The following is a 27949-nucleotide window of genomic DNA, read 5'->3' as shown; positions in this document are numbered from 1 at the left end:
ACAGGTGCCCACCACCATGCCCGGCTAATTTTTGTATTTTCAGTAGAGACGGGGTTTTGCCATGCTGGCCAGGCTGGTCTCAAACTCCTGACCTCAAGTGATCCGCCTGCCTTGGCCTCCCAAGGTGCCAGGATTACAGGTGTGAGCCACTGCGCCTGGCCCTTAAACCACTGTTTTATACAGACAACAGCAACCCTGCTTTGTGAGCTAGCTTACGGTTTTACCAAGTACCGTTTTTTTGTTTGTTTGTTTGTTTGTTTGTTTTTTGCGGGGGTGGAGGGCTACCAGCTTTATCAATATAATTCAGATACCATAACACTCATTTAAAGTGTACACTTCTGGCTGGGCACGGTGGCTCACGCCTGTACTCCCAGCACTTTGGGAGGCCAAGGTGGGAAGATTGCTTGAGCCCTGGAGGTTGAGACAAGCCTGGGCAACATAGCAATACCCCATTTGTTTCTTTTTTTTTTTTTTTTTTTTTTTTGAGACAGTGTCTCACTCTGTCACCCAGGCTGGAGTGCAGTGGTACAATCCCAGCTCACCACAACCTCCACCTCTGAGATTCAAGCAGTTCTCCTGCCTCAGCCTCCTGAGTAGCTGGGATTACAGGTGTCTGCCACCACACCCGGCTAATTTTTTGTATTTTTAGTAGAGACAGGGTTTCACCATATTGGTCAGGCTGGTCTCGAACTCCTGACCTCAAGTGATCTGCCCACCTCGGCCTCCCAAAGTGCTGAGGTTACAGGCATGATCCACCACACTCAGCCAGCAATACCCCATCTCTAAAAAAAAAAAAAAAAATTAGCCAGTCATGGTGGCGTCTGCCTGTAGTCCCAGCTACTGGGAGGCTGAGGTGGGAGGATCACTTGAGCCCAGGAGTTCAAGGCTGCAATGAGCTATAACTGTGTCACTGCACTCCAGCCTGGGTGACAGAACAAGACCCTGTCTCTAAAAATAAATAAATAAGATGTACACTTCAGTGGTTTTTAGAGTTTTGCAGCCGTCATTATGATCACCATCAATTTTATTTTATTTATTATTATTATTTTTTCCAAGACAGAGTCTCACTCTGTCACCCAGGCTGGAGTGCAGTAGCATAATCTTGACTCACTGCAAACTCCGCTTCCCAGCTTCAAGTAATTCTCCTGCCTCAGCCTCCCGAGTAGCTGGGATTACAGGTGCCCACCACCACACCCAGCTAATTTTTGTATTTTTAGTAGAGATGGGGTTTCGCCATGTTGGCCAGGCTGGTCATGGACTTCTGACCTCAAGTGATCCGCCTGCCTTGGCCTCCCAAGTGCTGGGATTCCAGGCGTGAGCCACCACGCCCTGCCACTATCAATCTTAGAACATTTTCATCACCCCCCAAAAGAAACTCCGTACCTATTCCCAGTCATTCCTCGTCTCCCCTCTAGCACTCTGGCTCTAGACAACCACCCGTCTGCTTCCTATCTCTATGGATTTGCCAATATTAGACATTTTGTAAAACTGATCATATAACATGTGACCTTTTGTGTCTGGCTTCTTTCCATAATGTTTTCAGGGTCCACCTATGTTGTAGCATATGTCAGGCTTTCATTCCTTTTCATGGCCGAATAATGTTCCATTGTATGGATGTGCCATGTTTATTTACCCATTCATCAGCTGATGGACACTTGGCTCCTTTTGGGTACTGGGAATAATGCTGCGAGGAACATTCACCTGCACGCGTTTTCATGTGGACATTGTGTTCATACCTCTTGAGCCGATCCAAGGACTGGAGTTGCTGGGTCCTATGGTAACTCTGTGTTAATGTTTTTGCGAAACTGCCAGAGTGTTTTCCAAAATGTCCGCAGCATTTTCCATTCCCACCAGCAGTGTAGGAGGGTTCCAGTTTCTTCCTATCCTTGTCAGCACTTGTTATTGGCTATTTCTTTGACTGCAGCCACCCACAAAATAACTTTAATAGACTGATTTTATTTATCCTCACATTCACTTCGTGAGCCTTTGTTTTGGTTCCACCACTGAGGGAAACTGAGGCTCAGGGTGATCGAGTCAGTGGTTGAAGACCCCATGGAGAGATACCTGGATCAGATACCTAAGGAACGCTGGGGCAGGGGGCCCCGTCTGCCTCGGCATCCCCAGGATTCTCGAGGCCTCTGGCTCCCTTGGAGAAAGGTTTGTCCCAACTGTCTGTCCAGAGATCAGGGGGTGTGCCCCCCAGAGGTTAGGAACGTTCGGACCCCCGTATCCTGGGGCTGCTCTGTCTACTCTGAAGAGAGCTCCAAGATGCGGCATTAGCTTTGTGGTTGTCCTTGGGGGCAGTTCTAACTGAGCCAGGTCCTAACAGCATAAACGCAGGCATCTGCCCCAAAGAAGGGTGGCTTCTGTTTCTTGCAGAGGTGCCATATGGGACTCGTGGTGGCCTTGCCGGCCCAGTTCTCACGAGGAAGGGGATGGCCCAAAGTCCCAGCAACCCAAGCTGCCCCTGAGGGTCGGAGTGGGTGGGGCGGCTGCTCTGGGCAGGCAGTGACCCCATGCTGTCCCCTTGCCTTGGCAGGAGCTGGAGCTGGTGGAGGATGTGTGGCGAGGGGAGGCGCAGGACCTCCTCTCCCAGATCGCCCAGCTGCAGGAGGAGAACAAGCAGCTCATGACCAACCTCTCCCACAAGGATGTCAATTTCTCAGAGGAGGAGTTCCAGAAGCATGAAGGTAAGTGGGGGTCGGCGCCAATGCAAGGGGGCCGGCCATTCCTTTTCTTATTGCCCACATCAGCGATTGTCGCCACCACCCCTGGACGCTGATGCGGTGCTGGCTGATTCCCAAAGCCCTTTGCCTTCTGTATTGTGTTGATTTGCACCATAACCCTGCCAGAGAAACATCACGTAGCCTCAGTTTACAGATGGTAACACAGAGGTCCTTTCAGCAAACTGTCACAGGTTCCCCTCTGTTTGTCAGGCTCCTCTCTTGGCCCTGGGATATGTGTTAAACGTGACAGAGACCCTGCCCTTGGGAAGCTTGTGTGCTGTGCAGAGGAGAAAGGGGCTTAACATGTAAACACACAGACACCATAGTTCCAGGGGGCGGCCGTGCTCTGGGAGAGCGGCAGTGGGGCATGTGATAGAGTGACTTGGTAGGGACATCTTTGGATACAGTCATCAGGGAAGGCCTTCGAGGAGGTCACATTTGAACCCTAATGAAGTAACAGAGTGAGCCACGCAAATATCTGCATTTGTTGGGTCGGGGGTTGCAGGGGCAGTCATGCAAAGGCCCTGGGACATGAGCATTTGGGGGAAACCAAGAAGGCCGGTGTAGGCCGCGCGCAGTGGCTCACACCTGTGATCCCAGCACTTTGGGAGGCTGAAGCAGGAAGATCACTTGGAGCCAGGAGTTTGAGACCAGCCTGGGCAACATAGACCCCGTCTCTACTAACGATTTTTTTAAAAATAAGCCAGGTGCAGTGGTGCACACCTGTAGTCTGAGCTACTTGAAGGCTGAGGCGGGAGGATCACTTGAGCCCAGGAGGTCGAGGCCACAGTGAGCTGAGATCATACCACTGCGCTACAGCCTGAGCGACAGTAAGATGAAAAAAATAAAGAAGGCTAGTGTGTCAGAAGATGATTGAGGCCTCAGGAGGCTGGAAATGAGGTCACAGGGGTCAGTTCATGTAGCTCCTTAGAGGCTGAGGTTTGGATTTTATTCTAAGTGTGCTGGGAAGAGATTGGAGGCTCTTATCACAGGCAAACGCTTACCAGTGAGCAGCCCGGGATGGCATCCCAGACCTGAATGGCACTGGAGCCCCTGAACTGTCACTTATCCAATAAGCACTTGTTTAGAACCTTCATGCAGGGCCTCTGCTGGTGCTGGGAAAAGGACAAATGGGCCGCAAGATTCGGGCCAGGCGGGGCTGTGGGCGGCATCTGCTCTGCTCAGCCCTGCAGCTTCCTGCCCGCTAAAGCAGGGGTGCCTCCTGCAGCTCACCCCAAGGAAAGCTCAGAGTCAATACTTCTGAGAAACTCCTTAGCTCCCCACATGAGCCTCTTCCTCATGTTTGATGGAACGGGGACGGACCTGGGGTGGGTGCCCAACTTCAGAATGTGTGGTGACCTCTCTGCAGAATCAAGTATGGCACTAAAGGCCAGGCACAGTGGCTCACGCCTGTAATCCCAGCACTTTGGGAGGCCAAGGCAGGTGGATCATTTGAGGTCAGGAGTTTGAGGCCTGGCCAACGTGATGAAACCCCGTCTCTACGAAAAATACAAAAATTAACTAGGCCTGGAGGCGGGCGCCTGTAGAGTCCCAGCTACTCAGGAGGCTGAGGCAGGAGATTCGCTTGAACCCAGGAGATGGAGGTTGCAGTGAGCTGAGATCGCAGCACTGCACTCCAGCCTGGGCGACAGAGCAAGACTATGTCTCAAAAAAAAAAGTATATATACACATATATGTGTGTATATATATATTTTTATATATATACATATATGTGTGTATATATATATTTATATATATATACATATATGTGTGTATATATATATATTTATATATATACATATATGTGTATATATATACACATATGTGTGTATATATATACACATATGTGTGTATATATATTAATATATATATACACATATGTGTGTATATATATTAATATATATACACACATATATATACATATATTTATATATATATATAAATTTATAAAAACATATATGGCACTGAAAAGGACTGTGGGAACCAAGGAAAAAGGAAAAGTTTGATCCAGGTCTGGATTCTCTTTTCCTTGGATTTCCTTTGTTGAGATTTGATTAGTAACAATGAAAACAAAAGTTCTCATGATTCTAAGCAGTTTCTGGAGCCAGGCGGCCCAGGTTTGAGTCCTGACCCTGAAACCTCCCTGCTATGTGACTTTGATCAAGTCACGTGACCTTCATGTGCCTAAGTTGCACCCCCATGTAAAAATGGAAGAAATGACCATACCTCCCTCATAAGCTTGTCATGAGGGTAAAATCAATGAATCTGTACAGACCGCTTAGAATCTTACCTGGTTCGTAGAAAACACTCAGCAAGTATTAGCTCTTATTACTACGGGTTATCATTATCCAGTCCAACCTACTGATTGAACAGATGAGAAAAGTTTAGACTGAGAGAGGGAGAGTGATTTGTTCAAGGTCACACAGCAAGTTAGTGGCAGAGTCAGAAGTGAACCCAGATCAGCTGAAATCAGCTCCCTGAAGGAAGGCTTCTGTCTCTCTGGGACCCTTTGACCCAGGGCTGCTGGAGACCCTGTGGTTAAGGCTGGTGGGGAGACTGAAATCACGCGCACCATGGATTGATCCGCCGTGGTGTTCCACTGCCCAAGAGCTTACGATTCCAGACAGAGGCCTGCCATGCATTCCTTTGCTCACCCTTTGTCTCCCTTATCTCTGATGGAGTGCCCACTCTGTCCCTGTTCTGGGCTTTGCCAGGTTGGAGGCAGGGCAGGGAGGCACATTCTGGGGCTTGCGTCTCCCTGCCGCGGTGACTTGGACATTAGAAAGTTTTCTAGCAGCAAAGTAAGCCTGGGCCTGGAGGACCCCGGAACCCTATCCCAATTTCCTTCAGCCCAAGAAGGAGGACTTTTTTGTTTGTTTGTTTGTTTGTTTGTTTGTTTTGAGACGGAGTCTCACTCCGTCGACCAGGCTGTAATGCAGTGGCGCAATCTTGGCTCACTGCAACCTCCACCTCCCAGGTTCAAGTGATCCTCCTGCCTCAGCCTCCCAAGTAGCTACGACTACAGGTGTGTGCCACCACGTCCATCTAATATTTGTATTTTTAATAGAGACGGGATTTCACCATGTTGGCCAGGCTGGCCTTGAAGTTCTGACCTAAGGTGATCTGCCCACCTTGGCCTCCCAAAGTGTTGGGATTACAGGCGTGAGCCACCACTCCCAGCCTTGCCTTTTCATGTCCGAATTGTCTGAATCATATTCCGTTCTATGGCCATACTGCATGTCGTTTGCCCACTCATCTATGGATGGACCTGTGAGACGTCACCACCTTTTGGCTGTTGTGAATCGTGCTGCTGTGAACATCGTGCTCAAGCTTTTGTGTGGACCTATGTTTTCAGTTCTTTGAGGTGTGTACCTAGGAGTGGAATTGCTGGGCCATAGGGAAACTATGTTAAACTTCTGACACTTCTGCAGGGCGCCTGGAGGCCTTGGACCCACAGGGCCTGGACCTGAGGGCTCTGAGCCGCTTCCCTGTGCATCAGTGCACGCATGCTCGCAGCGCCCTCCACCCAGGGAACTTTGCTTCCACAGCCTTCCAGATCCCTGCTGGGCTTGTCATGAATCAGCCCACACGTGAGCAATCTGAGACACACTTAAATGGCATCTAGCGTGGGTCCGGCTCCCAAAGGGTTAGCTCAGGAGGAGCACGGCAGCAGCCCTCCTGCCTGAGTGGAGAGACGGGGCAGATGCCAGGCATGCCTTTCGTGGTTATTTTTATTTTGCATGGGAAACCATGGGAACACAACAAGGAGAAGGCATGTCTTCCACCTGCTAGGGGAACAGACCTGGGACAGACAGGGTCCTTGGGAGAAGGTGGAGCCCGGGAAGTGACGGCTAAGAATGTGCTGGGCAGAGGCCAGGGGTAGACCGAGGACTTGGGGGTGTGCAGTCGTCCGATTCCTATGTGGGGGGTGAGGGGGTGCTGAGAGGAGCCAGCCCCGCATGGAACAGTGTGGCCTTCCCAGCAGTTCAACTTGGACACTGTGCTCAGAGGCACCTGGCAGGCTCCTGTACCCCCGGAAGTCTCCAGATTAAAAAGCACTTTGCTCCCGGCTGTTTGTGGCAATCCAGTTTGTCAGCTGGAGGGCAGCGCGCAGAAACTTGTTAGCACAGGCAGAAATGAATGACAGGTATGCAAGCCATCGCGCCGGGGGATGGGGTGTGAAGATTTGCTCATGGGTCTGGAAAAAAATCTTTGGGCTCTAAAGGAACAGCTTAGTCACCAGGGGAAGAGGAAAACTGACCACGTTGTCATTTTCTGAAGGGCATTACAGAACAACACTGCAACAAAAGAGAAGTCATTGTCATTCTTCTACTTGGCACATTCAAAAAAGTAAAACAGATGAAGTAATTTCTTTTTTCTTTTCTTTTTTTTTTTTTTTTTTGAGATGGAGTCTCACTCTGTCGCCTAGGCTGGAGTGCAGTGGGGCAATCTCGGCTCACTGCAACCTCCACCTCCCAGGTTCAAGTGATTCTCCTGCCTCAGCCTCCCGAGTAGCCTGGACCACAGGCACGTGCCACCACGCTCAGCTAATTTATGTATTTTTAGCGGAGACGGGATTTCACCGTGTTAGCCAGTATGGTCTCGATCTCCTGACCTCATGATCCGCCTGCCTCGGCCTCCCAAAGTGCTGGGATTACAGGCATGAGCCACCGCGCCCGGCCAGATGAAAGTATTTTCTATAATATATTTTACTGAACCCAGTAGATCCAAAACAGTAAGTATCCTTGTAACATGTAATCAATATAAAAATTATCAATGAGACTATCAATGAGATATTTTGCATTTTTTTCATATTAAGTCTTTGAAATGTGGTAGAATACATATGTATGTATGTGTGTATATGTGTATATATTCATATTCTATTGTGAAAAAATCTAACGTACATTTTACATAAAATTTACCATCTTAACCGCCATTCTCCCTTTTTTTTTTTTTTTGGACAGGTCTCTGTCTTCAACGCTGGAGTGCAGTGGCGCAATTATAGTTCACCATAGCCTCAACCTCCCAGGCTCAAAAGATTCTCCCACCTCAGTCTTCTAAGTAGCTGGGATGACAGGTGTGCACCACCACGCCTGGCTAAGTTTTAAATTTTTTTGGTAGAGACGGGGGTCTCACTATGTTGCCCAGGCTGGTCTGAAACTCCCGGCCTCAAGCAATCCTCCTGCCTTGGAGTCCCAAAGTGCTGGGATTACAGGTGTGAGCAACCGCACCCGGCCCTGTCTTAATCATTTTTAAGTGTACAGTTCAGAGGCATTAAGTACATTCACAGTCTTGTGCAGCCGCCACCACCATCCATCTCCAGAACTCTTTTCTCTCACAAAACTGAAACACTGTCCCCATTAAACACTAATTTCCCACCCACCACGCCATTGGCCCCTGGCACCCACCATTCTACTTACTGTCTCTATGGATTTAACTACTTGAGGCGTCTCCTATATAAGTGGAGTCATATCGTATTTTTCCTTTTTTGTCTGGCTTATTTCACCTAACATGTTTTCGAGGTTTATCCATTTTGTAGCCCATGTCAGAATCTCCTTCCATTCTAAGGCTGAGTACATTCCATTGTGTGCAGGCCCTACATTTGTTTATCCACCAGCTGACAATGGCAATGTGTGTTTTATGTTTGCAGCATATGTCCATTTGGAGAGGCCCCATTTCAAGTGCTCAGTGGCTGCTGGTGGCTACCGAATTGGATACGTTGAGCTCAACGGTGCTCTCAGAAGCGCGGTGGCTCATGCCTGTCATCCCAGCACTTTGGGAGGCTGAGGCGGGTGGATCACTTGGGGCCAGGAGTTTGAGACCAGCCTGGGCAACATGGCAAAGCCCCATCTCTACAAAAAATACAATAAGTAGCCAGGTGTGGTGGCGTGCACCTGTAATCCCAGCTACTCGGGAGGCTGAGGCACAAGAATTGCTTGAGCCCGGAAAGCGGAGGTAGCAGTGAGCCGAGATTGCCACCGCTGCGCTCCAGCCTGGGCAACACAGCGAGACTCGCAAAAAAAAAAAAAAAAAACAATAACAACAAAATTGCTGTGCCCTCTCTCTGGGCCTTTCTCCGTATGTTTGCCATATTGGCTTCTTGGGGCTGTCATAATAAATGACCACAAATTGGGTGACCAAAAACAGTTTACTCTCATAGTTCTGCAGGCCAGAGATTCATAGTCGGGCATCAGCAAGGCCATGCTCCCTCCAGCGCCTCTCAGCAGGAGTCCTTCCTTGCCTCTGGGGGCTGTCGGCATCCTCACCTGTGGCTACACCATCCCAGTCTCTTCCTCTGCAGCCAAACGTTCTCCTCCGTGTCTGTGTGTCTCAGCTCCCTCTCCTTTATCTTTTGTTGTTTAATGGGATTTTTTTGTTTGTTTTTTGTTTTGAGACAGGGTCTCACTTTGCCCCGCAGGCTGGAGTGCAGTGGTGCGATCTTGGCTCACTGCAACCTCCTCCTCCCTCACCTCCTGCTCAGGTAATCCTCCTGCCTCAGCCTCCCAAGTAGCTGGGACTACAGGCATGTGCTACCATGCCCAGCTAATTTTTGTACTTTTTGTAGAGATAGGGTTTCACCATGTTGCCCAGGCTAGTCTCAAGCTCCTGGGCTCAAGTGATCTGCCTGCCTCAGTCTCCCAAAGTGCTGGGATTACAGGCATGAGGCATAGCGCTCAACTTCCTTTGTCTTATAAGGACACCAGGTATTGGATTTAGGGCCTACCCCTCATCCCCCCTCATCCACCATGACTTCATCTTAACTAATTACATCTGCAAATACCCTATTTTCAAATAAGGCCGCATTCCAAGGTTCTGGGTCGCTGGGATTACAGCGATCTAGAGCCACCATGCCCAGAACTGTTTAGGTCAGATTCTTCCAGGAGGGAATCTGAGACAGGGATTCCCACGCAACTGACTTATGAAAGAAGTGCCCCCAGAGGGGAGGGAGTGGAGGAAGCAGGACAGGGAAAGCAAGAGGAAGCGGAGCAGGGCTGTGATCTCAGCAGGGTCCGGCAGAGGGCCGTGGTCTCAGCAGAGTCCGGCAGGGTGGCCTCAGCCTTAGCCCCTGGGGAGTCTGGAATGTAAGTTACACCTCAGGGTTTTCCTGCCCTTAGGCGAGGAGCTGGACTTCTAGTGCAGAGCCTGCCAGCCAGGATGCCTGAGGTAGCAAAGGCACATCAAAGAGCAGTGGTGTAAACACGGGCCCAGGTGATCCGAGACCAACTTCATGAGAAATGTGAGCTGTGGTCATCATCGTTCCCATGTTGAAGGTGCTTTGCTACCTCTGATGGGCTGAGAAACACACTGGTCTGATATGAAGAGACCCAGATTACAGCTCCTACATGACCACTAACTAGCAGTGAGATTTGGGCCAAGTTGCTCAATCATCTCGGGGCATTTTTTTTTTTTTTTTTTTTTTTTTTTGAGACAGAGTCTCGCTCTGTGGCCCAGGCTGGAGTGAAGTGCTGCAATCTCAGCTCACTGCAACCTCCGCCTTCTGGGTTCAAGCCATTCTCCTGCCTCAGCCTCCCAAGTAGCTGGGATTACAGGCCTGTGCCACCACGCCTGGCTAATTTTGTATTTTTAGTAGAGACAGGGTTTCTCCATGTTGGTCAGGCTGGTCTTGAACTCCCGACCTCAGGTGATCTGCCCCCCTAACCCTCCCAAAGTGCTGGGATTACAGGCGTGAGCCACCACGCCCAGCCTGGTGTTTGGCTCGGTGGCTCACACCTGTAATCCCAACACTTTGGGAGGCTGAGGCGGGCGGATCACGGGGTGAAGAGATAAAGACCATCCTGGCCAACCTGGTGAAACCCCGTCTCTACTAAAAGTACAAAAAAATTAGCTGGGCATGGTGGCGGGCACCTGTAATTCCAGCTACTCAGGAGGCTGAGGCAGGAGAATCTCTTGAACCCAGGAGGCAGAGGTCGTAGTGAGTTGAGATCGCGCCACTGCATTCCAGCCTGGCGACAGAGTGAGACTCTGTCTCAAAAAACAGACAGACAAAAAAAAAACACTGTAGTATATATTCACTCTTACTGCGTAAGAGTCAGATAAAACTAAGCACAAAACGTGACACTCCCCTTTGCTTCACCCCCACTGCACTGCCAGAGGGAAAACCTTCCCTTTCTATCTACACACAAATTTGTTTATTTTGTTTTCAAAATAAAAGAAATTGTGCTATGAATTACTTGTCCTTTTTTATAAATTAAAATTATGTATTTTAATTAAAATTCTGTATTTTAATTTATAAAATTAAACACTTTGGGAGTCTGAGGCAGGAGGATTGCTTGAGACCAGGAATTTGGGACCAGTCTGGACAACATAGTGAGACCCTGTCTCTACAAAAAAATTTTTAAATTAGCTGGGCATGGTGGTGCACACCTGTAGTCCCAGCTACTCAGGAGGCTGAGGTGGGAGAATCTTTTGAGCCCAGGAGGTCAAGGCTGCAGTGAGCCTTGATTGCACCACTGCACTCCAGCCTGGGCAACAGAGCAAGACCCTGTCTCTTAAAAAAAAAAAAAGTATTTATGTATTTATTGTTTGGATTGTCTATTTTTTAATTGAGGTGAATTCATGTAATATACAGATAACAATTTTAAAGTGCACAGTTCAGTAGCATGTGGTATATCATTTAATTCAGTAGCATGTAGTATATCATTTAATTCAGTAGCATATAGTATATCATTTAATTCAGCAGCATGTAGTGTATCATTTAAGTTATTCATAATGGGCTGGGGGCGGTGGCTCACACCTGTAATTGCAGCAGTTTGGGAATCTGAGGTGGGTGGATCACTTCAGGTCAGGAGTTGGAGACCAGCCTGGCCAACATGGTGAAACCCCATCTCTACTAAAATACAAATATTAGCCAGGCATGGTGGCACATGCCTGTAATCCCAGCTACTCGGGAGGCTGAGGCAGGAGAATCGCTTGAACCCAGGAGGCAGAGGTTGCAGTGAGCTGAGATTGCGCCACTGTACTCCAGCCTGGGTGACAGTGAGACTCTCAAAAAAAAAAATTTTTTTTTTTAAAATCATGACAGTGTTGTACAACCATCACCTGTTTTGTTCCAAAACACTTTCACCACCTTCCTGAGGTGACTGCACCTGGCAGGTCTCTCCCCAGCCTCTTGTCTCTGCCCTCCCTCCCTGCAGGTACAACCACTGGCAGCCTCTAATCTGCTTTCTGCCTCTGTGGATTTGCCAGTTCTGGATATTTCCTATCGATGAAATCACACTGTATGCAACCTTGGGGTCTGATCTTAGACCCCACGTCATTTTTGAGGTTCATCCGTGCTGTGGCGTGTCAGAGCTGCTTTCCTCGTTATGGCTGAATTGTCCTCCACTGTGTGGACTGAGCGCGTTGTGCTTATCCATTCTTAGCGGGGGGACATTTGGGTGGCTTCCATCTTTCATCTGCTACAGATAGTGCTGCTGTGAACTTTGTCACTTAACAGTCTATCTCAGTGTTTTCGACGGCACATCGTGTCTCATGGTGTCCCACTGCCTGGACAGTGCCTTGCTGGTGGACAGTAGCTCACTGCCAGATTCTCACTCCCACACGTGTGGCTGCTGTGGCTGGCCACGGACGAGCTTCTCCATGGTGCCCCTGCCCAAGTGTCTCTTAAAATCTAGGTCCCTAGATCCTGAATTGCTGGGTGTGTATGATGGCTCACAACTCTTCCAGCTTTTAACAGTGTCTGTTAAGAATACTTGGCCTTCTCTTAGTTTTCCAAAGCACTCTTGTACTTTCTCTTAGCAGTGACCTGTGAAGCGGGGAGGCCTGGTCTTTCCGTATCAGGATAAAATGACTTAGACACTCTGGCCCTGGGCCCCTCTGTTGTGAGCACTTCACATCGATGAAGCGTGCACAGGCCTCTCGAGAGCACCGAGGCCTGAAGGGAAAGCAACTAAGAGGCCGAAGCTGGGATAGGAGTCAGGCGCCAGGCTTCTGCCTCGGTCTCATAGCTCCTACGGCTGCCGCCCAGGAAGGTGATGAGGCTGCTGGGCTTCCACATAGACCCAGCCGCCCCTCTCTCCTCATGCTCGCCTCCCGCCCACCTCTCGGGGAGCCAAGGCAGCCCCAGCAAGGAGTAAATGAGTGAGTGGGTCCTGGCGCCCCAGGACAGGGCATGTCGGGACAAGTGTTCAAATGGCAGGCGGGGGGTCGGGAGGAGTTTGTGGCTTTGGCACTGACTTCTGTCTACATGGGACCTCAGCCCCCAAACACACACGACACACACATACAACACCCACACAGACACACACATACACCCACTCACACACGCCACACACACAGACCTCACACCACACACACACGGACCTCACACACCACACACACACAGACGCCACCACACAGACATACACGCACTCACACTGCACACAGCACACACGCAGACCTCACACACAAACCTCACACACCACACAGACCTCATACACACAGATCTCACACCACACACAAACCTCACATACCACACACAGACCTCACACACACCACACACACACGGACCTCACACACCACACACACACAGATGTCACCACACACATACACGCACTCACACTGCACACACCACACACACACAGACCTCACACACCACACACACACAAACCTCACACAGCACACACAGACCTCACACATACACAGATCTCACACCACACACACACACAAACCTCACACACCACACACAGACCTCACACATACCACACACACACACAAACTTCACACACCACACACAGACCTCACACACACCACACACATACAAACCTCACACACCACACACAGACCTCACACACACACAGCTCTCACACCACACACAGACCTCACACACGACACACAGACACAGACCTCACACATACAGATCTCACACACCACACACAGACCTCACACACATACAGACCTCACACACACACCACACACAGACCACACACACACAGACCTCACACACACACAGATCTCACACCACACACACACAGACCTCACACACAGCCCTCACACACACATACAGACCTCACACACCACACACACAGACCTCAGACACACCACACACACACAGACCTCACACACCACACACACAGACCTCAGACACACCACACACACACACACACATACAGACCTCACACACCACACAGAGACCTCACATTGACACCACACACAGACCTCCACACAGACCTCACACACCACCCACACACAGATGCCACCGCAGATACACACACACTGCACACACCACACACACACCACACACAGACCTCAGACACACCACACACACAGACCTCACACACCACACACACACAGACCTCACACACCACACACACAGACCTCACACACACCACACACACACAAACCTCACACACCACACACAGACCTCACACACACCACACACACACAGACCTCACACACCACACACAGACCTCACACACACAAACCTCACACACTACACACACAGACCTCACACATACAGATCTCACACACCACACACAGACCTCACACACACACAGATCTCACACCACACACACACACAAACCTCACACACCACACACAGACACAGACCTCACACATACAGATCTCACACCACACACACACACAAACCTCACACACCACACACAGACACAGACCTCACACATACAGATCTCACACACACACACAGACCTCACACACCACACACAGACCTCACACACACCACACACACACAAACCTCACACACCACACACAGACCTCACACACACCACACACACAAACCTCACACACACACAGATCTCACACCACACACACACACCACACACCACACACACAGACCTCACACATACAGATCTCACACACACAGACCTCACACACCACACACAGACCTCACACACACCACACACACAGACCTCACACCACCCACAGACCTCACACATACCACACACACAGACCTCACACAGACCTCACACACACCACACACAGACCTCAGACACACCACATACACACATACAGACCTCACACACCACACACACAGACCTCACACACACACCACACAGAGACCACACACACAGAGACCTCACACACAGACCTCACACACACAGACCTCACACACCACACACACAGACCTCACACAGACACCACACACAGACCTCACATTGACACTACACACAGACCTCACACACCACACACACAGATGCCACCGCACAGACATACACTCACACTGCACACACCACACACACACAGACCTCACACACACACCACACACAGACCTCAGACACACCACACACACACATACAGACCTCACACACCACACACACACAGACCTCACACAAACACCACACACAGACCTCACACACACCACACACACACATAGACCTCACACACCACACACACAGACCTAACACACACACCACACACAGACCTCACACACACACAGACCCCACACACCACACACACACAGATGCCACCACACAGACATACACTCACACTGCACACACCACACACACAGACCTCACACACACCACACACACACAGACCTCACACATCACATACACACAAACCTTACACACACCACACACACACAGACCTCACACAATACACACACACACAGACCTCACACACACACTGCACACAGACCTCACACACCACACACACACAGACCTCACACACACCATACACAGACCTCACACACTACACACACACATCACACACATATACCACACACACACAGACCCCACATTCACACACACAGACCTCACACACACACCAGACACAGACCTCACATTGACACCACACACAGACCTCACACACCACACACACACAGACCTCACACACACCATACACAGACCTCACACACTACACACACACATCACACACATATACCACACACACACAGACCCCACATTCACACACACAGACCTCACACACACACCAGACACAGACCTCACATTGACACCACACACAGACCTCACACACACCATACACAGACCTCACACACTACACACACACATCACACACATATACCCCACACACACAGACCCCACATTCACACACACAGACCTCACACACACACCAGACACAGACCTCACATTGACACCACACACAGACCTCACACACCACACACACACACACACACCACACCCCCCACATGCCCAAGGGTCGCCTTTCTGGGAAGCGTTAGCCGTGTCCCCGGGTCCCACCAGCTAAACCCAGCACTGCTCTGCAGCAGTGTCCCTGGGGCATAGAGAGGAGAGAGGGCACAGGCGGGCCCCCCACATGGCCCGGGAATCCCTCACAGGACCCACAGCCGGAGGCAGGAGAGCAGAGCTGACGGGGAGAGGGTCCACTTCACAACTGCAAGCGGGGGGCCCGGCTTGGTTGCCGGTTCTGTGCTTAGAGAAAGTGGACGCAGAGCAACTCCTGCGGCCACCTGCTGACACCCTGCCCTGCCGCTGGGCTCCCCAAGGGTCCAGGGGGGCCTTCCCCTGTCTTTCCCACCTTCCTCATCGGGAGCCCCTGCCCCACACATGCCAGGCCTCGGCTCCAGGGACTGGCTGTCCTCATCTTCCCCCATCAGCAGGCGGAGATGAATTGTACCAGTAGGGCCCTTGGCCAGCTAGTGTTTCTTATCTTTTCCTTTTAAACATTCTGGTGGAAAACATGTCGCAGAATTGCCCCTCTGTAACCTGTGTGAGTGCACAGGGCAGCGGTGTTTACTGTGTGCATGAGGGTGGGCAGCAGGGCGCTGGACCCCTTTCATCTTGCTGACGAAAACGACGTCCACGTCTGTGGTCTGACTTCTCTAGGGAGCTCCTCCTGGAAGTGGAATCATACGGCGTTTGTCCCTTGTGCCTGGCTTTTTCACTAAGCATAAGGTCTTCAGGGTTCATCCACGTGGCAGCATGTGACAGGATTTCCTTCTTTTTTTTTTTTTTTTTGAGACGGAGTTTTGCTCTTGTTACTCGGGCTGGAGTGCAGTGGCACGATCTCAGCTCACTGCAACCTCCACCTTTCAGGTTCAAGCAATTCTCCAGCCTCAGCCTCCCAAGTAGCTGGGATTACAGGCATGCGCCACCATGCCTGGCTAATTTTGTATTTTTAGTAGAGATGGGGTTTCTCCGTGTTGGTCAGGCTGGTCTCGAACTCCCAACTTCAGGTGATCCACCTGCCTCAGCCTCCCAAAGTGCAGGCGTTGTAGGCGTGAGCCACCATGCCCAGCCGATTTCCTTCCTTTTTTAAGGCTGAGTAACATTCCGTTGTATGGACAGACCACATTTTCTTTATTCCATTCTTCCGTTGATGGACATTTAGCTTGCTTCCACTTCTTGGCTATTTTTGTTTGTTTGTTTGTTTGTTTGTTGTTTTGAGACGGAGTCTCACTCTCCTGCCCAGGCTGGAGTGCAGTGGTGTGATCTTGGCTCACTGCAACCTCTGCCTCCTGAGTTGAAGCGATTTCCAGCTCATTTTTGTATTATTAGTAGAGACGAGAGGTTTCACCATGTTGACCAGGTTGGTCTCCAACTCCTGACCTCAAGTGATCCGCCCTCCTCAGCTTCCCAAAGTGCTGGGATTACAGGTGTGAGTCACCGCGCCCAGCCTTGGCTATTGTTTTTTTTAGCAACTTTTTTTTTTTGGAGATGAGGGCTCACTTTGTCACCCAGGTGGAGTGCAATGATGCGATCATAGCTCGCTGCAGCCTGTAATTCCTGGGCTCAAGCAATTCTCCTACCTTGTCCTCCCAAAGTGCTGGGATTACAGGCACGAGCCACTGTGCCCGGCCTTAACATTTTAAATTGAGGTATAACTTAGAGTGAAGTGAACACATTTTAAGTGTACAGCTCTATGAATTTTTGCATGTATGTTCAGATCAGGATAGAGAATAGTTCAACACCCCAGAATGCACCTTCTCATCCCTTACCAGACAAAACTTCACAAGGTCACCCTGACTCTGACCTTTTGTCTCCAGAGATTAATTCAGCCTTGTTTTGAACTTCATATACATGGAATCATACAGTGTATGCTTTTTGGAAATTGAGAAATCATAAGATTCATCCTTTCAAATGTGGACAACTCAGTGGGTTTTTTGTTTTTTGTTTTTTGTTTTTTTTGAGGCAGGGTCTCTCTCTGTTGCCCAGGCTGAAGAGCAGTGGCACAATCATAGCTCACTGCAGCCTCGAACTCCCTAACTCAGGTGATCCTCCTACCTCAGCCTCCCAAGTAGCTGGAACTATAGGCGTGGGCCACCACGCCTGGCTAATTTTTTTATTTTTAGTAGAGACGAGGTCTCAATTATTTGCCCAGGTTGGTCTTGACCTCCTGAGTTCCAGTGATCCTTCTGCCTTGGCCCCCCAAAGTGCTGGGATTACAGGCATGCGCCACCATGCCTGGTCCAACTCAGTGGTTTTTAGAATATTCACAAAGTTGTCCAACTATCACTACTGTCTGATTTTTGGAAGTTTTTGTCATCCCAAAAGCAATCCCCCATTCCCCCTATTCCCCCTAGCCCTAGGCAACCACTGGTTTTCTCTTTTCTTTTTTTTTTTTTTTTCTTTTTTTTTTTGAGATGGAGTTTCACTCTCTTTGCCCAGGCTGGAGTGCAGTGGCGTGATCTCAGCTCACTGCAACTTCCACCTCCCGGGTTCAAGTGATTATCCTGCCTCAGCCTCCTGGGTAGCTGGGATTACAGGCATGCACCACCACGCCCAGCTAATTTTGTATTTTTAGTAGAGATGGGGTTTCTCCATGTTGGTCAGGTTGGTCTAGAACTCCCGACATCAGGTGATCCACCCACCCCGGCCTTCCAAAGTGCTGGGATTACAGGCGTGAGCCACCGTGCACGGCCTAGCTGTACCATTTTACATTCCCATCAGCAGTGTATAAAGGTTCTAATTTCTCCAAATCCCCATACATACACACATACATCTTTTTTTTTTTTTTGAGACAGTATCTCATTCTGTCAACCCAGGCTGGAATCCAGTGGCACGACATAGCTCATTGCAGCCTCGAACTCCTGGGCTCAAGCAGTCTTCTTGCTTCAGCCTCTTGAGTAGCTGGGACTACAGGTGTGTGCCATCACACCCAGTTAGTATTTTTTAATTTTTTGTAGAGACGAGGTCTCCCTGTATTGCAGTGGCTGGTCTCGAACTCCTGGGCTCAGGCAGTCCTCCTGTCTTGGCCTCCCAAAGTGCTGGGATTACAGGCATGAACCACTGTGCCTGGCCTCAGTCTTTCAAATAGCTGCACAGTGTGGGTTGTACAGTGGTTAATTTCACCATCTTCCTCCTGAGGCATGTGGGCACACCTGCCTGTTGAGGGCCCCCCACGATACAGTTGCTAGAGTGCGTGTGTGAGCTTTAGCAGGTAAGGCCAAACGAATTTCCATAGTAGCACTTCCAGCAACAAGGCACACGTCTTCCAGCTGCCCCACTTTCTCACCAGCACTTGGTGGTGTCAGTCCTTCTCATTTTAGCCATTCTGGTGGCTAAATGGATTCTTGCCCCTTCTTTTCATCCCTGCCTCTGCACACCAGCCAGGGCTGACGTCTCTGTGGGGTCTTAGGGCTTTTGTGGAGCTCTCTGCCTCAGAGCTGAGCAGGACCCAGGAGGTACTAGAAGAAACCCGAGTGGTCATTCAGCTTGAAGGGCTGCACTCATGCCCCCCATGGCCATCGGTGGGAGGATGCACCATCCAGTTTCATGGCTTTGTGTAGCTTTCTACTATATGTACTTTACATGAACAGCATCATCAGAAAGGTGGAGAATGGAAAAATAATTCACGTGCCCATTTTGCAGATGAGTGAATAGAGGCTCAGAGAGGTGAGCGTCACTTCAGAAGTCATAAGCCGTGAGGCTCGATGGCAGCAGGTGGTGGAGCTCAGCTTTCTGTACCGCTCTCCGGGGCCTCCCAGTGCCTTGGTGCCCTGTCCACACTTCCCATAATTCCCTGCACTGCAGGGTCCTTTCCCTCCAGCCATGTCATGTGCATACAGAGGACGCCCACCCCTGCTGGAAGTCTGGAAGTCTGTCCTCTCTGGCTGCCCCTTCCTGGTCTCCTCTGCCTGACCCTCCTGCCTTGCACAGCCCCTACATGTTGAGACCCTGAGGCTCCTGTTGTCCCTGCAGGGGATAATCCAACCCCTGACCCATGCCTTAAGGCACTGTGTGGCCTGGGCTTGTTTTAGCTCATGCGTGCATCACCCCCATGGCCTCTGCGCCTCAGCCCGCATTGCCCTCATCCCCCGATGCAGCCCCTCCCCCAGGGCCTTTGCACTCACTGCCGCCTGTGCTGCGCTGTCCTTGCCACCAGGCCTCCTTTCCTCTGTGGCCTCTGGTCTCAGCGGAAATGACCCCTGCCCTGAGAGGCCTGCCCTGCACCCATGGTCTGCATGGGGTCTCCCTGGTCACTTTTCTCAGCCCCTGTCACATCCGTCACGGCACTCAACTTGGTCTGTAATGGCACGTGCCTGTCTGACATCTGTAAACCAGTGAGAGCAGAATCAGGTTTCATTTATTCACCACGCTGACCCTCATGACTAGTTCGGTGTCATGTACACAGAAGGTGCTCAATAAACACTTGATGGCCAGGTGTGGTGGCTGATGCCTGCCATCAGGGCCCTTCGGGAGGCCGAGGTGGGAAGATCGCTTGAGCCCAGGAGTTTGAGATCAGCCTGGGCAACGTGGCAAGACCTTGTCTCTATAAAAAAAGATTCAAAAACGAGCCAGCTGTAGTGGTGCATCTTTATAGTCCCAGCTACTCAGAGGCTGAGGTGGGAGGATCACTTAAGCCCAGGAGGCAGAGGTTGCAGTGAGCTGTGATCCTGCCACTGCCCTCTAGCCTAGGTGACAGAGACCCTGGGTCAAAAAAAACAGAAAACAAAAACTCGATGGCCGGGCACAGTGGCCCACACCTGTAGTCCTAGCACTTGGTGGGACTCAGGTGGGAGGATTGCTTGAGGCCAGGAGTTCAAGACCAGCCTGGGTAACACAGTGAGACTTAAAAAAAATTTTTTTTAATTAGCCAAGTGTGGTGGTGCACGCAGTGGTCCCAGGTCCTGGGGAGGCTGAGATGGGAGAATCACTTGAGCCTGGGAGGTCAAGGCTGCAGTGAGCTGTGATCATGCTACTGCACTTTAGCCTAGGTGACAAAGCAAGACCCTGTCTCTAAACAAACAGGCTGGGCGCAGTGGCTCACGCCTGTAATCCCAGCACTTTGGGAGGCTGAGGAGGGCAGATCACTTGAGGTTAGGAGTTCGAGACCAGCCTGGCCAACATGGTGAAATCCTGTCTCTACTAAAAATACAAAAATTGCCAGGCGCATGCCTGTAGTACCAGCTACTCAGGAGGCTGAGGCAGGAGAAGTCCTTGAACTGAGGAGGTAGAGGTTGCAGTAAGCCAAGATCGTGCCACTGCACTCCAGCCTGGGCAATAAAGTGAGACTCCGTCTCAAAAAAATAAAAAAAAAAACAAAAAAACTTGATGGGTGAACATTCTGATGGGGGTACACATATGCAAAAATATGTGAGGGCACCCCCAGAAGGTGGCTCTGTCTGGGAGAAAGTGGGGACTAGAGTCTGCCCCGTGGTGACACATTCTGGTGACCTTAAGAGAGCCTTTTGCATCTCGTGCCCTGGTGACAAGGCAGCTTGGTATCATGGAGAAGACACGGGATCTGGAGTCAGAAAACCTGGGCTTGAGTTTTTGGCTGTAAGACTTTGAGAAAAAAAAATATCTCTGGGCCTCAGTTTTTCATATATGTAAAATGAGACTGATGTTAGAAACAACAGTAATGATAATAAGACCCATTTCCAGTGGTTGGGAATGAGAATGAAATAAGGTCCAGGGTGTAAAGCAGTTTATCCTTCCTGGGCTTGGCAGGAGTACGTTGCCCTTTGGGAGTGCAGAAGAAGAACCAGTTCCCGTTCACTGGCCAGCCTCAGGCATCTGTCATGTGTGGGGCCCTGGAATACAGAGACGAATGAGACAGGCTGATGCCTCTAGGACGATCATATAAAATCCCAAGCTCAAGCTCAGGACCCAGGCCTTACCTGGCTTTGTGGCACTGGCATCGTCGCCTGCTGTTCTGGAAACACACCAGGGATGCTTGTTCATGGTGGTGACCACCAAGACAAGAGAGAGGAGGTCAGCGGCAAGGACTCTGATGCAATGGCGCACCCGGGGGGGAAAGTCATGCCAAAGAAATAGCTGAGGGGTTGCCTCTGTGCTTTCTCCTCATGGGATTAGATCTGGCTGCATGTCCTGAGTCCCGGGGGCTAAGGAGGGACGTTTCCCCCTTGTTCACCTCGGATTGAGCCTGGCCATTGCAGGCCAGCCCAGGCTTCACGGAGCAGGTGTGCACTGGCAGCCCCAGCACCTACGGAAGGCTGAATAATGGCCCCAAAATATCAGGTCCTAGTTCCTAGAACCTGTGGATGTCACCTGATGTGGTAATGTCTTTGCAGTTGTGTTATTTCATTCCAGATCTTTCTTTTTTTTTTTTTTTTTTGAGATAGAGTCTCGCTCTATCACCCAGGCTGGAGTGCAGTGGCGCCATCTCGGCTCACTGCAAGCTCCGCCTCCTGGGTTCACGCCATTCTCCTGCCTCAGCCTCCCGAGTAGCTGGGATTACAGGCGTGCACCACCATGCCTGGCTAATTTTTTGTATTTTTAGTAGAGACAGGGTTTCACCGTGTTAGCCAGGATGGTCTCGATCTCCTGACCTCGTGATCCACCCGCCTCAGCCTCCTAAAGTGCTGGGATTACAGGCATGAGCCACCACTCCCGGCCAGATCTTGAGATGGGGATGTTATCCTGGCTTACTTGGGTGAGCCCAGAATGTAATCACAGGTGTCCTTGTAAGATGGAGGCAGGGAGAGATTTGGCACTGACAGAAGAGGAGAAGGCCACGGGACCACAGAGGCAGAGACTGGAGAAATGTCACCACAAGCCGAGAAGTGCTGGTGGCCACTAGAAGCTGGAAGAGGGAAGGAACGAAATCTCTCTGGGCCAGGCACGGTGGCTCATGCCTATATAATCCCATTGCTTTGGGAGGCTGAGGCGAGTGGATCGCTTGAGGTCAGGAGTTTGAGACCAGCCTGGCCAACGTGGTGAAACCCCATCTGTACTAAAAATACAAAAAAATTAGCCAGGTTGTGGCAGGTGCCTGTAATCCCAGATACTTGGGAGGCTGAGGCAGAAGAATCGCTTGAACCGGGGAGACAGAGGTTGCAGTGAGCTGAGATCGCGCCACTGCACTCCAGCCTGGGCTACAGAGTGAGACTCTGTCTCAAAAAAAAAAAAAAAAAAAAAAAAAAAAAAAAGGCCAGGCGTGGTGGTTCACGCCTGTAAATCCCAGCACTTTGGGAGGCCAAGGTGGGTGGATCACAAGGTCAGGAGATCGAGACCATCCTGGCTAACATGGTGAAACCTGACTCTCCTAAAAATACAAAAAATTAGCCGAGCGTGGTGGCGGGGACCTGTAGTCCCAGCTACTTGGGAGGCTGAGGCAGGAGAATCACTGGAACCCAGGAGGGGGAGGCTGCAGTGAGCCGAGATCTCACCACTGCACTCCAGCCTGGGTGACACAGTGAGACTCTGTCTCAAAAAAGAAAAAAAAAATCTCCCTTAGAGGTCCAGAGGAAGCATGGCCCTGGTAACACCTTGATACCTTGATTTCAGGTTCATTTGGACCTTCTGGCTTCTAGAGCTATGAGAAAATAAATTTCTGATGTGTTAGGATACCACAATTATTGGTCATTTGTTACAGCAGGTGCAGGAAACTGACATAGCACCCATCCTCACAGGTCATTAATTCAACAATAACTTAATGGGCACCTGCGGTGTGCCAGGCACCATATGGGGCCCAGGGAATGTAACAGTGACTAGGGCAGATAGGGCCTTGCCCTCCTGTGGCTGACAGTCTAGTTAGGGTTAGGGATGAGGGGTGGGCCTCACCCGCCTGCGGTGTGCCAGGCACCATCTTCAGGGCTCTGTGTGTATTAACTGTGAAAGTTGTCTGAATCAAAATGGGGTCACCAATGTTACCCAAAACCCTGACAAATGGAACCCGGGAAAGCCATGAAGAGAGGGTTTTCACGCTTGCATGCCCGATAACAAAAAAGACTCTGGAAAAACGACAGCTTTGCACAAAGGCCTTTGTAACCTTACACAAAAAGACTTCTGCTACGACGTCTGCCCGGCAGTGGCCGGTCCAGCCTCAGACTACAGTCACCCTTGTTATTGATCTTTGTAGCCAAGTATAATTATTAATATTTCAAAACAATTATGTAACCCTCCTTATTTTTTCCTTTAAAAATCGTTGTCTTCCTTTACCTCCCTGAATACACATAGTTTACTATGGCAGGTGGATTCCCATTGCAACGCTCTACTCCCAAATAAGTAGCTTTTCCTTTTTTTTTTTTTTTTTGAGACGAAGTTTCACTCTTGTTGCCCAGGCTGGAGTACAGGGGTATGATCTCAGCTCACCACAACCTCCACCTCCCCTCCCAGGTTCAAGTGATTCTCCTGCCTCAGCCTCCCGAGTAGCTGGGATTACAGGCATGCGCCACCACGCCTGGCTAATTTTGTATTTTTAGTAGAGACGGGGTTTCTCCATGTTGGTCAGGTTGGTCTCGAGCTCCCGACCTAGGTGATCTGCCTGCCTGGGCCACCCAGAGTGCTAGGATTACAGTTTTTGTTTTGTTTTTTGGGGTTGTTTTTTTTCTTTTCTTTCTTTTTTTTTTTTTTTGAGACAGAGTCTCGAACTGTTGCCCAGGCTGGAGTGCAGTAGCGTGATCTTGGCTCACTGCAACCTCCGCCTCCCGGGTTCAAGCGAGTCTCCTGCCTCAGCCTCCCGAGTAGCTGGGACTACAGGCGCTCACCACCAGGGCTAGCTAATTTTTGTATTTTTAGTAGAGACGGGGTTTCACAGTGTTGGCCAGGATGGTCTCGATCTCTTGACCTTGTGATCCGCCCACCTCGGCTTCCCAAAGTGCTGGGATTACAGGCGTGAGCCACCGGCACCCAGCCTGAGGTTTTTTGTTTGTTTGTTTGTTTGTTTGTTTTGAGACAGGGTCTTCTGTCACCCAGGCCTGGAGTACAGTGGTGCAATCAGAGCCCACTGCAGCCTCGAACTCCTGGGCTCAAGTGTTCCTCCCTCGTCAGCCTCCTAAGTAGCTGAGATTACAAGTGGACACCACCACGCTTGGCTAGTTAAAAAAAAAAAAATCTTTTTGTAGAAACAGGGTCTTGTTATGTTGCCCAGGCTGCTCTCAGACTCCTAGCCTCAGCGATCCTCCTGCCTCAGCCTCCCAAAGCACTGGGATTACAGGTGTGAGCCAAGATGCGTGGCCATCTTTTATTTTATTTTATTTTTAAATTTTATTTACTTTTTATTTTTGGGACAGAGTCTTGCTGTTGTCACCCAGGCTGGAGTCCAATGGCACGATCTCGGCTCACTGCAACCTCCACCTCCCAGGTTCAAGCAATTCTCCTGCCTCAGCCTCCCGAGTAGCTGGGATTACAGGTGCCCGCCACCATAGCCGGCTAATTTTTTTTTTGTATTTTTAGCAGAGAGGGTTTCACCATGTCGGCCAGGCTGGTCTCAAACTCCTGACCTCAGGTGATCCAACCGCCTCAGCCTCCCAAAGTGCTGGCATTACAGGCATGAGCCACCACGCCTGGCCCATCTCTTATTTTAGAGAACCTTTCTCTGTTCATCATTTAGGTTGACATAATCAATCCTCACAACAGCCCTATGAGTTGCGGGGACTGTTATCACCCTACTTTATAGGGTGGAAACTGAGGCATAAAGAGGCTAGCTCCAAACCAAACTGCTGATAAATAGGAGAGCCAGTGTCTGAGCTTGAGCCCAGCCTGAATCACTGTGCAGCGTCATCTTTCGTCAGATAAAAGAATGTAAGAGGCTGGGTGCGGTGGCTCACGCCTGTAATCCCAGCACTTCGGGAGGCCGAGGTGGGCGGATCACTTGAAGTCAGGAGTTTGAGACCAGCCTGGTCAACATGGCAAAACCCTGTCTCTACTAAAAATACAAAAATTAGCCAGGCGAGGTAGCACATGTCTGTTGCCTCGAGCTACTTGGGAGGCTGAGGTGGGAAGATCACTTGAGCCTAGGAGGCAGAGGTTGCAGAAAGCCAAGATTGTACCACTACACTCCAGCCTGGGCAACAGAGTGAGAATCTGTCTCAAAAAAAAAAAAAAAAAAAAAAAGAAAGGGACACATAGGAACTGTAAAAAGTGCCATAAAGGTAATACATGAGGCCGGGCGCGGTGGCTCACGCCTGTAACCCCAGCACTTTGGGAGGCCGAGGCGGGCGGATCACGAGGTCAGGAGATCGAGACCATCCTGGCTAACACGGTGAAACCCCGTCTCTACTAAAAATACAAAAATTTAGCCGGGCGTGGTGGTGGGCCCTGTAGTCCCAGCTACTCAGGAGGCTGAGGCAGGAGAATGGTGTGAACCCGGGAGGAGGAGCCTGCAGTGAGCCGAGATCGCGCCACTGCACTCCAGCCTGGGCGACAGAGCGAGACTCCGTCTCAAAAAAAAAAAAAAAGTAATACATGGTGGGTCAGGGATGGAGAGAAGCGAATGAATGAGGTGTGGGGGAGGTAGAGGCTGTCACTGAGTGGTCAGAGGAAGGGAGGCCTCTGTGAAGAGGTGACATTTGGGCTGAGGCCTGAAAAATGAAGCGCGCCAGCCACAGGGAGATGAGAAGGAAGGGACTGATGGGCAAGGAAGAGGCCTCAAGGTGGGAATGACCTCGGGGGGAATCAAGGAATAGAAAGCAGGCACCGGGGAGGGCGAAGGGCGTGAGTGGAGAGTGGAGAGGATGAGGCTGGGGAGGAGGCCGGGGGGCCACTAAGACCTCAGTTTCATCCTCAGCAGAAGTGGTGGATGATTTCAACATAGGAGTAAGGCGGGCTCACCTGCCGGTCTCACTTGCCCACCCAGGCATGTCAGAGCGGGAGCGACAGGTGATGAAGAAGCTGAAGGAGGTGGTGGACAAACAACGCGACGAGATCCGCGCCAAGGACAGGGAGCTGGGCCTGAAAAATGAGGACGTTGAGGCTGTGAGTGACACACCCCTGACCTGCGTCCACCCTCCCAGCCAGTAGGTGCCAGCCAGAGACCAGACCCTCCACTCAGCAGGCCCCTTCTCTCCCTCACTCTCATTCTTGGGGCTCCGTGGGGTGTGGATCCTGCTCATGGCTTGGCGGGCCCAGCCTGGAAACTTCAAGTCTTCACTGGCAGAGCAGGAGGAAACGTGGCACTGCCCGGTGAGCAGGCTCCTCCCGCCTCCTGGGAAGGTCCCGAGGCCTGGGCAGACTTTGCTCTGACCCCAAGGCCTCCTCCAGCCCCACCACTTCATGCCTCTCTGTGAGCAGACTTAGCAGGGTCCAGCGTGCTCCAGGAACCCATACAGTGTCTCTGTGTAAATCAGAAAAAAATGCCCCTTTCTGAAGGCATGTTACTTCCATTTGTTGGGAAATTTTCATAATGTATTAATTCTAGCAAGACACCCTTCCATCTGCCATAAAATTATCATAGAAAATACACAAATTGCCCATCTCTAGCATCATCAGCTATAAGAATACGAACAACTTTCAAACAAAGATGTCTGCAATGTAAATGGCACACCTATGGATGGTTTGCCGTTGTGCAGTGTACAACCTGAGCTACCGCAGGTGGCAGCCCCGCACAATGGTCTCCCTTTTTCTACAGTTACAGCAGCAGCAGACACGGCTGATGAAGATCAACCATGACCTTCGGCACCGGGTCACGGTGGTGGAGGCCCAGGGGAAAGCCCTGATCGAACAGAAGGTGGAGCTGGAGGCAGACCTGCAGACCAAGGAGCAGGAGATGGGCAGCCTGCGAGCAGAGCTGGGGAAGTTGCGAGAGAGGCTGCAGGGGGAGCACAGCCAGAATGGGGAGGAGGAGCCTGAGGTGAGCAGGAAGCTGGGTGCAGAGGTGGTAGCAGAGGGTCAGTCTGGGGGTTGGCTTAAGGCAGGCAGGGTTGCCTTGTTTTCCCCATTATACTTCAGAAAATGGCCAACCTGGGCAACATAGCAAGACCCCAATTCTCTACAAACATTTTTTTTAATTAGCCACGCGTGGTGGTGCACACCTGTAGTACCAGCTGCCTGCCTGGGAGGCTTAGGCAGGAGGATCACTTGAGCCCAGGAGTTCAAGGCTGCAATGAGCCATGATTGCACAACTGCGCTGCAGCCTGGGTAACAGAGCCAGACCTGTCT

At 50.6% G+C, this 27949-nt stretch overlaps 1 protein-coding gene across 6 annotated transcripts in view, besides 5 other annotated features; it reads left to right on the top strand.

The window, feature by feature from the left end:
- Nucleotides 1-27949, top strand: part of RILPL1 (Rab interacting lysosomal protein like 1) — a 63666-nt gene that overhangs the window by 7535 nt on the left and 28182 nt on the right. For 3 of the 6 annotated variants that reach the window (NM_178314.5, NM_001319243.2, XM_047428787.1), the window contains exons 2-4: nucleotides 2540-2690; nucleotides 26649-26767; nucleotides 27420-27641. In NM_178314.5, coding sequence (NP_847884.2) covers nucleotides 2540-2690; nucleotides 26649-26767; nucleotides 27420-27641 — 492 coding nt within the window. Of the gene's footprint in view, nucleotides 1-1226; nucleotides 2158-2539; nucleotides 2691-5958; nucleotides 6091-7690; nucleotides 7804-8376; nucleotides 8871-26648; nucleotides 26768-27419; nucleotides 27642-27949 lie in introns of those variants that run through there. The other 3 variants (NM_001319302.2, NM_001319244.2, XM_047428788.1) reach the window with 3 other exon arrangements.
- Nucleotides 9790-10290: an enhancer, noted in NCBI's record as "H3K4me1 hESC enhancer chr12:124000442-124000942 (GRCh37/hg19 assembly coordinates)". NCBI's record gives its function as "activates a minimal SCP1, AML or CMV promoter by ChIP-STARR-seq in naive H9 embryonic stem cells {active_cell/tissue: H9 hESC(naive)}" and the evidence as "EXISTENCE:reporter gene assay evidence [ECO:0000049][PMID:30033119]".
- Nucleotides 12089-12383: a silencer, noted in NCBI's record as "tiled region #13563; K562 Repressive DNase matched - State 14:Gen5'". NCBI's record gives its function as "represses a minimal TATA promoter and a strong SV40 promoter by Sharpr-MPRA in K562 cells {active_cell/tissue: K562}" and the evidence as "EXISTENCE:reporter gene assay evidence [ECO:0000049][PMID:27701403]".
- Nucleotides 19789-20083: an enhancer, noted in NCBI's record as "tiled region #11641; HepG2 Activating DNase matched - State 18:Pol2, and K562 Activating non-DNase unmatched - State 18:Pol2". NCBI's record gives its function as "activates a minimal TATA promoter and a strong SV40 promoter by Sharpr-MPRA in HepG2 cells, with weaker activation in K562 cells {active_cell/tissue: HepG2 | K562}" and the evidence as "EXISTENCE:reporter gene assay evidence [ECO:0000049][PMID:27701403]".
- Nucleotides 19789-20480: a biological region, named in NCBI's record as "Sharpr-MPRA regulatory region 11641".
- Nucleotides 19976-20480: an enhancer, noted in NCBI's record as "H3K4me1 hESC enhancer chr12:123990252-123990756 (GRCh37/hg19 assembly coordinates)". NCBI's record gives its function as "activates a minimal SCP1, AML or CMV promoter by ChIP-STARR-seq in primed H9 embryonic stem cells {active_cell/tissue: H9 hESC(primed)}" and the evidence as "EXISTENCE:reporter gene assay evidence [ECO:0000049][PMID:30033119]".

The sequence above is a fragment of the Homo sapiens genome, chromosome 12 (genome assembly GCF_000001405.40).
Source record: "Homo sapiens chromosome 12, GRCh38.p14 Primary Assembly".
In the NCBI taxonomy this organism is placed as follows: domain Eukaryota; kingdom Metazoa; phylum Chordata; class Mammalia; order Primates; family Hominidae; genus Homo; species Homo sapiens.
Note: the sequence above shows the minus strand (reverse complement) of the source record. Positions and strands in the feature narration are given on the sequence as shown.